Source organism: Homo sapiens, chromosome 1 (genome assembly GCF_000001405.40).
Source record: "Homo sapiens chromosome 1, GRCh38.p14 Primary Assembly".
Lineage (NCBI taxonomy): Eukaryota > Metazoa > Chordata > Mammalia > Primates > Hominidae > Homo > Homo sapiens.
In genome coordinates this window covers 143,858,233-143,872,965 of record NC_000001.11, presented here as the reverse complement: position 1 = coordinate 143,872,965, position 14,733 = coordinate 143,858,233, and the positions used below count along the sequence as shown (strand labels likewise).

Genomic DNA, 14,733 nt, shown 5'->3' with positions numbered 1-14,733 from the left:
TTCAAAATCAGACAGTTTGATTTCCTTTACATACTCACTGATGGAGTATAACAGTGCCCACCCCATGCCTTGCGATTCCTGCTTTGTAGTAAAATAGCTACTTCTTTGAAAAATAAGTGAAATCATTTCATTGATCAGGATAACATGAGGGAATTAGGATTGTTGTGTAAGAGGAATGTAAGATCTATAGCCTGGAAGGATAAAATACTTTCTTTCTAATAAGTATTGTTGTTTCCAAATGTTGAGGAAATAGCCATTGATGTAGGTTTAAATTCATGTAAGAAGAGCTAGAAAAATGGGGCAAACATAGTAACAAAAGCAGAGTAGTCTTCTAGCATTTGATGGACAATGAAAATCATGATGCTCTGTTCTCACTTATAAGTGGGAGCTGAACGATGAGAAGACACGGACACATGGTGGGGGAACAACACATACTGTGGCCAGTCGGGTGGGGTTGGGGGAGGGAGAATGTCAGGTAGAAGAGCTAATAAATGCTTTGCTTAATACCTAGGTGATGGGTTGATCTGTGCAGCAAATCACTATGGCACACGTTTACCTATGTAATCAAACTGCACATCCCGCACATGTACCCTGGAACTTAAAATAAAAATTCATGGAAAAAAATCATGATGCTCAGAAGAACAATTAGGAGAATTTACATCTATATATGACATTTGTATTTCCATACATTAATACTTTTTTTTTTTTTTGAGATGGAGTCTCGCTCTGTCACCCAGGCTGGAGTGCAGTGGCACGATCTTGGCTCACTGCAACCTCCACCTCCCAGGTTCAAGCAATTCTCCTGCCTCAGCCTGCCCAGTAGCTGGGATCACAGGTGCACACCACCATGCCCAGTTAATTTTTGTATCTCTAGTAGAGACGGGGTTTTACCATGTTGGCCAAGATGGTCTCAATCTCTTGACCTTGTGATCCGCCTGCCTCAGCCTCCCAAAGTGCTGGGATTACAGGCATGAGCCACTGCACCTGGCCACTGATACTTTTATAATGCCATCATACTCATAGGCTTCATTCTTTTAAAATCACTTTACAAATACAATTTTCTCAAAGGTAGATGCAAAATCTTATTTGCCAATTTTAAGAAAAATTGCTCTCTACTATAGAAAATGATTTATGAACAATTATTTGATATGTTTTTTTTAAAAGATGAGATAGGCTGGGTGCAGTGGCTCATGCCTGTAATCCCAACACTTTGGGAGGCCAAGGTGTGTGGATTGCTTGAGCCCAGGAATTTGAAACTGACCTGGGTAATATAGTGAGATCCTGTCTCTACTAAAAATAAAAAGAATTAGCTGGGCATGGTAGTTCATGCCTGTGGTCCCAGCTACTTGGGAGGCTGAGGCAGGAGGATTGCTTGAGTCTGGGAGGTTAAGGCTGCAGTGCGCTGTGATTGTGTCACTGCACTGTAGCCTGAGTGACAGAGCAAGACCCTGTCTCAAAAACAAACAAATAAATGCTAAGATAATTTAAATCTCATAAAGAATTGACCAATAATTTATTTTATTTTCATCTCTTTATGAGTAAAAAACAGTAATGCTTTATTTCCTACTCAATTCCTTCTTTGATGATCATGTGTTTTAGAAACTATTCAAATGTATCTGCTAAATTTTAAGTAAAGAATTGCATATAAGTAATTGTCTATAGTACAATTTTGCTTAATATGTTTTGTATACTGTTGTAACAGCTCTTGGACAGGTGAAATGTATAACTTTTATGTAGTTGCTAATGCTTGAGGTGTTTCTCAAATATTCATATAAAGTTTACCCAATTTTTTTCTTCAACTGCCATTCATTATAGAAAGTCCCCCAGTGGTTCAATTTTAAGTTTCCACTAGGAACTCATTAATTTTTTATTCTTAGTTATTCTTACTACTCAATCTTTTATTTTAAAAAATTATCATCTATGATTTTATAGGAATGTTTACAGTTAATTTCTGGAGATATTATAATTTATCTTTTATAAGTTATTTCAATTTGGGATGACCTTGTCCATTTCCTCTTCCCGACTTCACCTTCTTGTGTTGTCATGATTATGTCTATCAAGCCCTTTGCTTATTTTCCTATGTGCCCTTGAGATTCTTTCCTAAGCTTTTAAGGGATCAACTCGTTATAAATCTCAGTCTGTTTGCTTTTGCATATGCAGTTTTCATCTTTCCCCAGATAGCAAGGTCACTCCATTTTGATTTCCTTCCTGTATCACAGCAGCAAGAGGAAAAGGATGGGAAAAGGGTTAAAACATTTATGTAGCTTGTGTTCCTAAAAATAGCTATGATCTGAAATGGAAAAACTCTTCACATGAGCTCATTCCCCAGCTTTTAACTGCCTAATAGTGTGAGTCAGGTGCAGACACTGAAGCGCTATTCTGAAAGACCCTCACTTAGTATATAAATGTGAGAGGCTACAGTGGCTTGTCAGATCATAAAGTATGAAAGCTCATGATCTTCCCTGTCACCTAACCCAGCACCATTTTTCCTTGACCATCTTGGTGTGTCAGAAAGGCACCTTCAGAGTCATGGTGACAAGGACAGGGGGAGCTGGCTGAGATGGAGGGCTCTAGGTAGAAGAGGTAGAGGGGTCAGAAAGGTACGTGAGTTAAGAGGTTGGCCACAGACTCTTCCTACTTCTTTGCCCTTGTTCCGCCCCAGGGCTCTTCACTTTCTTTTAGAACTTAAAAAAGTTGACTAATATTTTACGCAAATGAAAAAATGTGTAATATATATGTGTATATGGTTAATGATGCAAAATAAGAAAATGAACATTTATAAACCCACAACCCAAATTAACAACAAGAATATTATTAATGATATACCAGATTTCCAGCCCAGATGGAGTAGCAGAGACTGGATTTATCCTCTCACCTGAAACAAAATTAAACTAAACAAAATTAAACAAAAGAACAAAATACATGAAACAATGTTTTTTTGAAACTGTGGACATCAGGCAACAAAAGACAGTCACCCCTGAGAGATAGGGAAGAAAAAAGATGAGCCCTGCAATTGCCTCATCTACTGCATTGAGAGGGTCTCCAGGCTGTGGTACAGGGGAACTCAGGCAGGTCCCAGTGGAGTCCCAGAATTGAGGAGACAGAGCTGAGTCTGGAGAGACCAAGGTGGCTAGAGCTCATGGATCCAAGAAATGGAAATGAAAAAGCTGCACACAGAGAGAATTCCAGAGATCTGCTGAGGGTCCCCACCAAGTATTCAGCAGAGTAGTAATCAGTGTGCTGATCTAGAAGGAAGGGGCTGAAGCACAAGATATAATTTAAAGAGTTTACTTGAGCCAAAGTGAGCACAGCTGCCCAGGACACACTTCCAAGTTAACTCAGGGAGTGCTCAATCAGCTTTTGTTACAAGCAGGTTTTTAAAGGCAAAGGTAAGAAGAAGTGGATGGATACAAAGTTCTTTGATAGAAATTTTCATTGGCTTACAGAGATGACATGGATTAGTTATTGGTTATACACTGTTGAACTATAGGATATGAGTCGTGGTGTCCAGCATATGTTATTTTATGGCTGCTTGGCATCAGTTAGTCTGGAGCCCGTATAGCAAGTGGCTTTACAAGATAATCACTCAAGGGGGAGTGATGTGACTGCAGTTTCATTCCAATGCCTCTCTGAGCCTGATAATTTAAAGGGGCTCACATTCCTCAGATAAAAAGTTTCTTCTTCTTTTTTTTTTTAATTTCACAGGTGCACGTGTGTGAAAAAACTACCCCAGGAAAGAACCACTTGAAAGCATTAGCTAGAACAGTACCCAACAGTCACACAGGGCTGGAAATAGTGCCAGTTCCCAAAAAAGGAGAGCACAATTCACAAGGCATGTGATAGAGAACCCAGAAGGGTCTTACCTCAATTAAGACATGGAAAATAGAAAAACACTAAAATCCAACTTCTAGAGATGAATACCAGTATGCTGGATGGGATTGAGAGCACATTAGACCACAGAAAACAAGATTAATGAATGCAAAGACAGAGCAATAGAAACAATCCAAAATGAAACAGAGGGTTAAAAAAAAAATGAAAAGAGCATCAGTGAGGTGTGGGACAACTTCAAGTGGCCTAATATATGTGTAATTTTGAAAGGAGGGGGCCAGCTGGGCTTCCTGAGTCAAACAGGGGCTCAGAAAGCTGTAAAACTCACTCATTTTCTGCATCAGAACTTACTTCGGTCCTGAATGAATAATATTAAAGATATATGCTTAAAATATTCCTAACACCAGGATTTGTGCATGTGTTTTCTTCCCAAAAAAAACTATAAACAGCAAAAATTTTGCTGTAAGCTTCCCTGTGTCCTCTCTCCCTCTCTCCCTTCCCCCTCCCCTAAAACTAAAAGGAATATTAAATGCCTGTTTTTCTATGACCAGCGAACTTTATCTATACTCCCAATTCCAATTCCTTGTAAACATACTTTATAAAGTCCTGTAAGATTGTTTCCTTTGCCATGCTGCTGCAAGGTCATAAAATAAATAAAACCTAAGTTACAATTCTGGTTTTCCTCAAAATCTAAAACATGTCACAAAATAATTTACTGCCTTTGTTTCTCGCTCTGGTAACATCTTCCCTCTACACGTATTTCCCGCCTTAAAGAGTTTCAAAAGCAACTGCATCATCGACCTCTGACTACCCGCTCGAAACCCCTTCCACGCTGAAAAGCTTTGTACTGTCACTCTGCTCAATAAAGCCTACAGCCTTTTTTCTCTTGGTCCGTGTTTCCATCGCCACGGGCAGCCGCCACACCAATTCTTTGGTCTGGCTAAGGCAAAAATCTTTAGCGTTACAATTGGAGTCCTTGAAAAAAGAGGAAGGTGGATATGTCAGAGGCGTTTGAACCAGAGCAACTCCATCTTGAATAGGGGCTGGGTGAAATAAGGCTGAGACCTACTGGGCTGCATTCCCAGGAGGTTAAGGCATTCTTAGTCACAGGATGAGATAGGAGGTCAGCACAAGGAACAGGTCACAAAGACCTTGCTGATAAAAGGATATGGTAAAGAAGCTGGCCAAAAGCCACTAAAACCAAGATGGTGATGAAAGTGACCTTTGATCGTCCTCACTGCTCATTATATGCTAATTATAATCCATTAGCATGTTAAAAGACACTCCCACCAGCACCATGACAGTTTACAAGTGCCATGGCAACGTCAGGAAATTACACTATATGGTCTAAAAAGAGGAGGAACTGTCAGTTCCTGGAATTGCCCCCCCCCTTTCCTGGAAAGGAATAATAATCCACCCCTTGTTTAGCATATAATCAAGAAATAACCACAAAAATAGCCAACCAGTAACCCTCGGGGCTGGTCTGCCTATGGAGTAGTCATTCTTTATTTCTTTACTTTCTTAAATAAACTTGCTTTCACTTTACTCTATGGACTCACTCCAACTTCTTCCTTGCATGAGATCCAAGAACCCTCTCGCAGTCTGGATTGGGACCCCTTCCTGGTAACAGATAGAAAAAATATTTGAACAAAGAATGACCAAAAAGTTTTCAAACTTGATGAAAACTTGTAGGAGACAGGCATGTGCCACCCTAAAATATGACTTTTTGGCATAAGGATTATTTTGAGCTGATTATTTTGAGAAACAGTAGACACAGGAGAATTCTAAAAACACAGTAGAAGTTACCCTTCTGTAAGGGAAATTTACATTTTTAAAAGAAATCTCCATTTCTAAGGCTATCTCCCTCTCTGGGCTGGGAAAAGAAGGAGGACTAAATCACAAAAGGCTCTTACCAATGGAGAAGGCACCAATTTAAATCTGCATAATAAACCTTACTCTTGTTTGATTTTCCTGAACGCTTTCCCATAGCTTGCTTTCCCAACACCCTTCTTTCTTTCTTTTAGTTGAAGATGCTACATAAGCCAAAATTCTAGGCCACCTCTTTGAGAGTTACTCATTTTTCCCTGATTATCTGCTTTTCTCTTGTTAATCTGTCTTGTTATAAAAGTCCCAGCTGAGAACTCAGAAGGGTAGAAGAAAAATTATTTTTTCTCCCCTACACTATAAATTTATAAATCCAAGATTCTCAATGAACCCCAAGCACAAAAACAAATAAAAACACCCCCCAAACAACAAAAACCATGAAGAAAACAGCATAAGGATTTAATAATCAAATTACTGAAAGTTAGTGAGAGAAAATCTCAAAAGTGATCGGAGATAAAAAGACATGCTACACACAGAGGCACAAAGAAAACACCAGATTTCTTGTTGGAAATAATGCAAGTGAGAAGACAATGTAGCAACAACATCTTTAAAAGGTACCGAAAGAAAAATAAGGTGTTATAGATGTGTAAATTTTTAATTTTATAAGATGATGCCAAGTTAATTTCTACATGGCTATACTACTTTGCCCTGTCATTAATAGGATATAAGGATTTCTATGTCACTAAATCCCTTGTCAACACTTAGTATTTGTCAACAAAAAAGTCAAACTCTGTGAAATATTTGAAGAGATTTATCCTGAGCCAAATATGAGTGACCAATGGCCTGTGACACAGCCCTCAGGAGATCCTGAGAACATGTACTCAAGGTGGTCAGGATGCAGCTTGGTTTTATGCATTTTACAGAGACATAAGACATCAATCAATACATGTAAAATGTACATTGGTTCAGTTTGGAAAGGCAGGACAACTGGAAGCAGCAGGCAGGGGTGGGGTGGCTTCCAAGTCATAGGCAGATTCAAAGATTTTCTGATTGGCAATTCGTTATTATCAATAGAAAGGAAGATCTGGCTTGTGATAAGGGGTTGTGGAGACCAAGGTTTTGTCATTCAGATGAAGCCTCCAGGTATCCAGGCAGCAGACTTCAGAGAGAATAGATTGTAAATGTTTTTTTTTTTTTATCAGACTTAGAGTCTGTTCTACCAGTAATTCCAAAAGGGAGGAGGGTATGATGAGGCATGTTCAGCTCCCCCTTCCCATCATGGCCTGAACTAGTTTTTCAGGTTCACTTTGGAATGCCCTTGGCCAAGAGGAGGGGTCCATTAAGATGCTTGGGGGGTCTTACAATTTTATTTTTGGTTTATATAATGTAAGAAGACTTCTTAGTCCCCATTTCCATTTTTGTAGTTATAAAATAGTACTCTATGGTAGACTTAATTTAGATTTCCCTGATTACTGATGAGGTTGAGTCCTTTTTCATATGTTAATTTACCATTTATGCAGTTTCTTCCATGAAATATCTGTTTGTGGCTTTTATTTTGTTCATAGTGTGCACTTTTGTCTATTTCTTATTGGTTTATAAAGGTTTAAAAATTTAGTCTGATACAAACCCTCATGGCTTACTTCTGTTGAAATTATTTTTTTCTGATTGGCAACTCATTTCCTGACTTTCTTTATGTTGTCTTTTCATGTACAAAAGTTCTTAATTTTGATGAGGTTTAATTTGTCAGTATTTTATTTTATGATTAGTATTTTTGTCTTGCTTATGAAATCTTTGCTGATTCCAAAGTATTTTCTTCTAAAAGTATTAAAGTTTTGCCTTTTACAATTAAGTCTTAAGTCCATGTCTGTAGGTGATGTGAAGCAGGTATCTAATTTCTTTTTTTTCCCTTGTGTATAAGCAGTTGTGTCAGTACCATTTAAAAGACCTAATCATCCTGTTTTTGATATGAACTGACAATTCTATCACAAAGTTTCATATATATGTGTTTTTAGAGCTTAGGCTATTTGACCAGCAATTTGCTTATCTTTGTCTCAATACCACATTGTCTTAATATTATAGCTTTATAATACATCCTTATATATGGTAGTGCACATCTCCTTAATCATCTCAGGATTTTCATAGTTATTCTTGGATTTTTGCTCATTAATGTACACATTGAATCAAGTTGTCAGCTTTCTTAGTATTTGTTGGGATTTAGATGATTTACATTGAATATGTAAACAAATTTGAAGAAAATTTGTACTTAATGACATTGAGTCTTCTAAACCATAAACTTAATGTGTCTATTAAATTATGTGGTCTTTCTTAATAACTTCCCATAAATTGCACAGTTTTCTTCATAAATGCCCTGCACAAATCTTACGGGATTTCTTTCTAGGTGTGTGCGTGTGTGTGTGTGTGTATCTTTGTTAATTCAAATGGTAATTTCTAAAAGTTTATTTTTGATATAATGGAAACACAGCTGATTTAGGGAACACTGATTTTTATATCCAGATACCTTACTAATGTAAGTCCTGGGAGATAGCTATTTGCAGGAAAATCTTACACTTTGGGGGATCAGGAGGAGCATGTGCAGTGGTTCTATTCCTTGAAAAAAAAATTTTTTGAGACAGGGTCTTGCTTTGTCTCTCAGGCTGGAGTGCAGTGGCATGATCATGGCTCGCTGCAGGCTTGACCTCCCGTGCTCAAGCGATCGTCCCACCTCCTGAGTGGCTGGGACTACAGGCATGCACTACCAGGCTTGGGTAATTTTTATATTTTTTGTAGAGTCAAGGTCTTCTTATGTTGCCCAGGCTGGCATTGAATTCTTGGGCTCAAGTGATCCTCCCACCTTGGCCTCCCAAAGTGCTGGGATTACAAGTATGAGCAGCTGTGCCTGGCCTGAAAGGTTTTGCACAATGATTTTGTTTCTTAGGGTTTTATCCAGTCTGTAAGGGTAATAGTGATCCTTACTCATAGTCTTGTTCTTTGTCACCACAACTTAGTTTCTCTTCCTCCAGTCACCTCTAGGCTGATTCTTAAGAAGTGAAAACAAGACGTATTGGAAAGACAGAGTAACAGAGAGAGAGAGTGAATGAGTGTGTGTGTGTTTTCCATCTATCTAAACAAGCCTGGAACACTCCAACATTTCAACATTTTACTTAGATGAGAACATCTTACTGTTGTCTCAATTTTGTACATGAGATAAAGCTACAAGAGGTTAAGTTACTTCATCAGGGTCAAAAAATTAGTAAATGGTACAGTGAGACATAAACTAGCTCCATGTCTAGTTCTGTGCAGTAGTGATATAAGAATTATAAGGTTTAACAGAAACAGAATTGTTGCTAATTGTCCCTGAGTATGCTTCCCTCTACACTGTAACTCAGCAGTCTTCTCTCAGGCAATTAGCAGCTTTATCATGTGGAAGAGGAAGAGGCTAAAATTCAGTCAAAATCAGGTCCTCTTTGGGGAAAATTAGTCTTTTGCAGTAGGGGTGTAGAAAGAGAGTCAAGAAATAAAGCATTGTTGGCTGGGCACGGTGGCTTACGCCTGTAATCCCAGCACTTTGGGAGGCCAAGGCAGGTGGATCACGAGGTCAGAAGTTCAAGACCAGCCAATATGGTGAAATCCCGTCTCTACTAAAAAAATACAAAAATTAGCTGGGCGTGGTGTTTTGTGCCTGTAGTCCCAGCTACTTGGGAGGCTGAGGCAGGAGAATTGCTTGAACCCGGGAGGCAGAGGTTGCAGTGAGCTGAGATTGTGCCACTACACTTCAGCCTGGGTGACTCTGTCTCACACACGCACAAAAAAACATAAGCATTGCTGAGCCTGGTGGCTCATGCCTATAATCCCAGCTACTTGGGAGGCTGAGGCAGGAGGATCACTTGTGCCCAGGAGTTTGAGGCTGCAGTGAGCCATGATTGCACCACTGCATTCCAGCCTGGGTGACAGAGTGAGACTCTGTCTCTAAATAAATAAATAAATAAAAATAAAGCATCATATCCTCATAGTGGCTTAGCATTTGGTAGGAGTAGCAGATGTTGTACATCTTCTGACTTTTCAGAGGGTGAGCACCGGCTTCTTGTAGTCAAAAGGGACAAAGGGGAGACCATTCTCCTTACAACTATAATTTACCATACTAAGGTAGAACTCAATAAAGACCCTGTTTAAGATACCGTTAGCATTCAAGACTGGATCCTCTGGCCTCCCTTCTTCTCACCTGACTCTATGAAGATGTTGTAATATAGGGTTAATGCGTAGTTCGTGTCAAGGTTTTCTTTTGAACAATTTTCCTAGAAAAAAGGGGGATAGCAATGCTTGTGCCCACTGCTGAGTCACAGAGGCTTGAATCAAATCCCTTCAGCAGCAGCCTAAGTAAACGATGACAAATGCTAACCCAGGAAGGACTGAGGTGGTTTCTAAGTTACGACTAGATTCTTTCCCATTCTACTACTCACTTCTAGATCCAAGTCCTGGCTCTTTGCACTTTAGAGACATCCTGTTTCCTACATGGAAGTCTTCAGTGCTGTCTCTGCAGTTTCAGGAACTATGACCTTTGATGCTGCTGGGGCTCAGAAAACAATACCCCAAAATATGGCACTTTGACATGCTGAACTAAAGAAGCAGCCTCAAGGTATCTCTCTCTGACCTCTCCTCACCCTTACCTACACCTCACCCCCATCCTCTTACTTTCCTGAAGCACTAGCAGGGACTCTCTATGGAATTTCCTCAGCTGACTAAGAAAGATTCTTTCCAAAAGAATTGCTGGGCACGGTGGCTAACGCCTGTAATCCTAGCACTTTGGGAGGCTGAGGCAGGAGGATCACTTGAGGCCAGGAGTTCAAGACCAGCCTGGCCAACATGACAAAACCTCATCTCTATTAGAAATACAAAAAATTAGCTGAGTGTGGTGGCATGCACCTATAGTCCCAGCTACTCAGGAGGCTGAGGCAGGAGAATTGCTTAAACACGGGAGGCAGAGGTTGCAGTGAGTTGAGATTGTGCCACTGCACTCCAGCCTGGGTGACAGAGCAAGACTCCATCTCAAAAAATAAAATAAAATAAAATAAAATAATAAAATAAAATAAAATAAAATAAAATAAAATAAAATAAAATAAAATAGAAATGCAATTGTCTTAAAACTCCCTCCCTAGGAATCTCATGAAATAACCAGGAAAGATTAACCACAAGAGAAGAAACTAGGAGTCCTCACCTTGCCCTGACAGACTTTTCATGTATTCCTCCAAGGGCAGCTCAGAGAGAGTACCTGAGAGGCTTTATCTGAATAATAAAACAACCTTTGTTCACAGTAAAGTTCTGTCCTTCACCTTCTGGCCACTGACCCCAGAGCTCAGAGGAACTTTGTCCCAGATCACTGTTCTTTGGGTTCACTCATTCCCCCTGAAAACCATTTACTGCTACACCCTTCATCTCCCCTTTCTCTATGAGGAAGGGCGTATAACCATTTGGACCTTACTGGGTTGTTGGGTAACCATCCTCCTTTAATTCCCCTGAGCTATACATGTTAAATACATTTTGTATGGCTTTTTCTCCTATTAATTTGTCTATAGTCCATTTTCAGCAAACTTTCAGAGGATAGAAGGGGAAGCTTTTTCTTGGTCCCTACAATGTCAAATTAAACAGATGAGACTAGAAGTCTGGGAGTGCAAGGACTTCTTGGGATCACATCATTGTTTTCCCTGCTTTGGTTAGGAATACTGTCTTACTAGTGCAAATCGATGGCAGTTGGTTCAGTTCAGAAAACTCACATGTGGAAAGGCAATTTCCTGTGTGTCACATTTGTGGGAACTTCACTTCCCCAAACCAGTGAGTTTAAGGGTGATTTCTCTTTCATTCACTTATAGAAGTCATACTCTCTAAAACATCTCCTTTCTCATTTTAGTGATTTCCAAGCTGTCTGTTCAGTCAAATGGACTTATTTCAGTTAAATTACAAATAATTGCTGCTAGGATGAATCCTGACTGAGAGTAATCAGTAATTCTCTTCCTGTCCATCCTCCATCACATTTAGATAAAAATTCAATAATATTTTTAAATCCCTGTGGGTTGGTTAGGAGAGGTGGGAGAAGATGACAGAGAGATGTTGGAAAGGGAATTTAGGTAATGTTGCTGTATTTACTCACGTGCTTCCTTATTCCCTTAGTCAACTCAGTTTCATAAATTTCTTCAGGATCTTTTTCAAGAAGATCTTTCGATTTTTTTTTCAGCCTACTCTAATTACTCCTTGTCTATGTTACTGTTCCTATTTGTACAGAGCTCAGACTACCCTATCATGTGTTCCTGCTTTTTCATTTCTTTTTTTTTTGAGATGGAGTCTCACTCTGTCACCCAGACTGGAGGGCAGTGGTGTGATCTCAGTTCACAGCAACCTCCACCTCCCAGGTTCAGGGGATCCTCCACCTCAGCCTCCCAAGTAGCTGGGATTACAGGCCTGTGCCACCACGCTCGGCTAATTTTTATATTTTTAATAGAGATGGGGTTTCACCACATTGGCCAGGCTAGTCTCAAACTCCTGACCTCAAGTGATCCATCTGCCTTGGCCTCCCAAAGTTCTGGATTGCAGGTATGAGCCGTCGTACCTGCCCCATGTGTTCTTTTTTATAGTCTATTCGTTATATACATGATATATTTACTTCCCCAATTGTGGTGTAAGCATTTTTAGAGGATGCTTACACCACAACTGGGGAAGTAAATATATCACGTTCCTATTCTATTTGTATATTGCTTTATAAAGACATTCAGATAACATATGCTTGATAATGAATACATAAATAAATGTATATTATTTACATTTAGCATCTTCTCTTCCCTCAGTCTTTGTGTATCCTGAAGACAGCTTATATGCAAAATTAGAAGTATGGAAGTTATCAGAGTCTCTCCTGGCAGTTTCTGTATCTGTGTGTCTTGTACACAAACATTTGCTTAATGACTTTATGTTTGAAAATCTTACAACTAAGTGAAAATATGTGAAGTGAATAAAAAGTTTTTGTTATTCTAAACAGAAAAATTAACCCAAGATACCCAAAAGATAGAAAACATATAGATTAAACAAACTAAATTTATGTAAATAATAGATAAAAATAAAATAAATACAGTTTTCACATATGAATTTTTATTGTATTCATCAAAGGAGGAAGAGGAGACTTGGTTATAGGTGATGGTCAATAGAGGAGGACTGGGAGGGGATTATTCTTTCAAAGTCAGTGAAGATTCAGTGCCAGACCAGCATTCAATATCAAATTTAATGTGATTAATAATTTCCTTTACCTTAAGGCTTTGACCAAATAAAAGCTAAACACAAAAAGGCTTTATAGAATATTGAAATGGTGAACATGTACAGCAGATTGAAGAGTCATAGAAGATGCAACCCTCTCATTCACTTTGCTTGGCATGTGTATGAAAAACAGTATTTTGGGTTCATCTAAATATGTCATTGATTTGGTTTGGCTGTGTCCTCACCCAAATCTCATCTTCAACTGTAGCTCCCATTATCCCCACATGTCATGGGAGGGACCCAGTGGGAGGTAGGTGAATCATGGGGCCAGTTACCTTCATGCTGTTCTCATGATAGTGAATGATTCTCACGAGATCTGATGGTTTTATAAGGGGCTTTTCCCCCACTTCGCTCTGTACTTCTTGCTGCTGCCATGTGAAGAAGGACACGTTTGCTTCCCATTCCACCGCGATTGTAAGTTTCCTGGGGTATCCCTGGCCATGCAGAACTGTGAGTCAATTAAACCTCTTTCCTTTATAAATTACCCGGTCTCAGGTATGTCTTTATTAGCAGTGTGAGAATGGACTAATACAGTAAATTGGTACTGGGTAGTGGGGCACTGCTGTAAAGATACTTGAAAATGTAGAAGCAACTTTGGAACTGGGTAACAGGCAGAGGTTGAAACAGTTTGGAGGGCTCAGAAGAAGACAGGAAGATGTGGGAACGTTTGGAACTTCCTAGAGACTTGTTGAATGGCTTTGACCAAAATGCTGATAGTGATATGGACAATAAAGTCCAGGCTGAGGTGGTCTCAGATGGAAATGGTAACTAGTTGGGAACTAGAGGAAAGGTCTCTTGTTATGCTTTAGCAAAGAGACTGGCAGCATTTTACCCCCTGCTCTAGAGATCTGTGGAATTCTGAACTTGAGAGAGATGATTTAGAGTATCTGGTAGACGAAATTTCTAAGCAGCAAAGCGTTCAAGAGGTGACAGAGCATAAAAATTTGGAAAATTTGCAGCCTATGTGGTAGAAAAGAAAAACCTGTTTTCTAGGGAGAAATTCAAGCTGGCTGCAGAAATTTGCATAAGTAATGAGGAACCAAATGTTAATCGCCAAGACAGTGGGGAAAAGGTCTTCAGGGCATGTCAGAGACCTCCCTGCTGTGTACAGCCTAGGAACTTGGTGCACTGTGTCCCAGCCACTCCAACCATGGCTACAAGGGGCCAAGGTACACCTTGAGTCATGACTTCAGCGGGTGCGAGCCCCAAGCCTTGGCAGCTTTCACATGGTGTTGGTCCTGCAGGTGTGCAGAGGACAAGAACTGAGGTTTGGGAACCTAGATTTCAGGGGATGTGTGGAAATGCCTGGATGCCCAGGCAGAGGTGTGCTGCAAGGGCAGAGCCCTCATGGAGAACCTCTGCTAGGGCAGTGCAGAAGGGATATGTGGGGTTGGAGCCCCGACACAGAGTCCCCACTGGGACACTTCCTAGTAAAGCTGTGAGAAGAGGGCCACCATCCTCTAGACCCCAGGCTAGTAAAACCACTGACAGCTTGCACCATGCACCTGGAAAAGACTCAGACACTCAATGCCAGCTGTGAAAGCTGCCAGGAAGAGGGCTGTACCCTGCAAAGTCACAGGGTCAGAGCTGCCCAACATCATGGGAGCCCACCTCTTGCATCAGTGTGATCTGGATTTGAGACATGGAGTCAAAGGATATTATTTTGGAGCTTAAGGATTTAATTACTGCCCTATTGAATTTTGGACTTGCCTGGGGCCTGTAGCTCCTTTGTTTTGGCCAATTTCTCCCATTTGCAGTGGCTGTATTTACCCAATGCCTGTACTCTCA

The 14,733-nt window shown here is 40.0% G+C and overlaps 1 pseudogene across 1 annotated transcript in view, besides 1 other annotated feature; it reads left to right on the top strand.

The window, feature by feature from the left end:
* H2BP2 (H2B histone pseudogene 2) overlaps positions 1-14,733 on the top strand; it is a 57,749-nt pseudogene that overhangs the window by 31,685 nt on the left and 11,331 nt on the right. The gene's annotated exons all lie outside the window — the stretch shown is intronic.
* Positions 4,764-5,322: an enhancer, noted in NCBI's record as "OCT4-NANOG-H3K27ac hESC enhancer chr1:149362195-149362753 (GRCh37/hg19 assembly coordinates)". NCBI's record gives its function as "activates a minimal SCP1, AML or CMV promoter by ChIP-STARR-seq in primed H9 embryonic stem cells {active_cell/tissue: H9 hESC(primed)}" and the evidence as "EXISTENCE:reporter gene assay evidence [ECO:0000049][PMID:30033119]".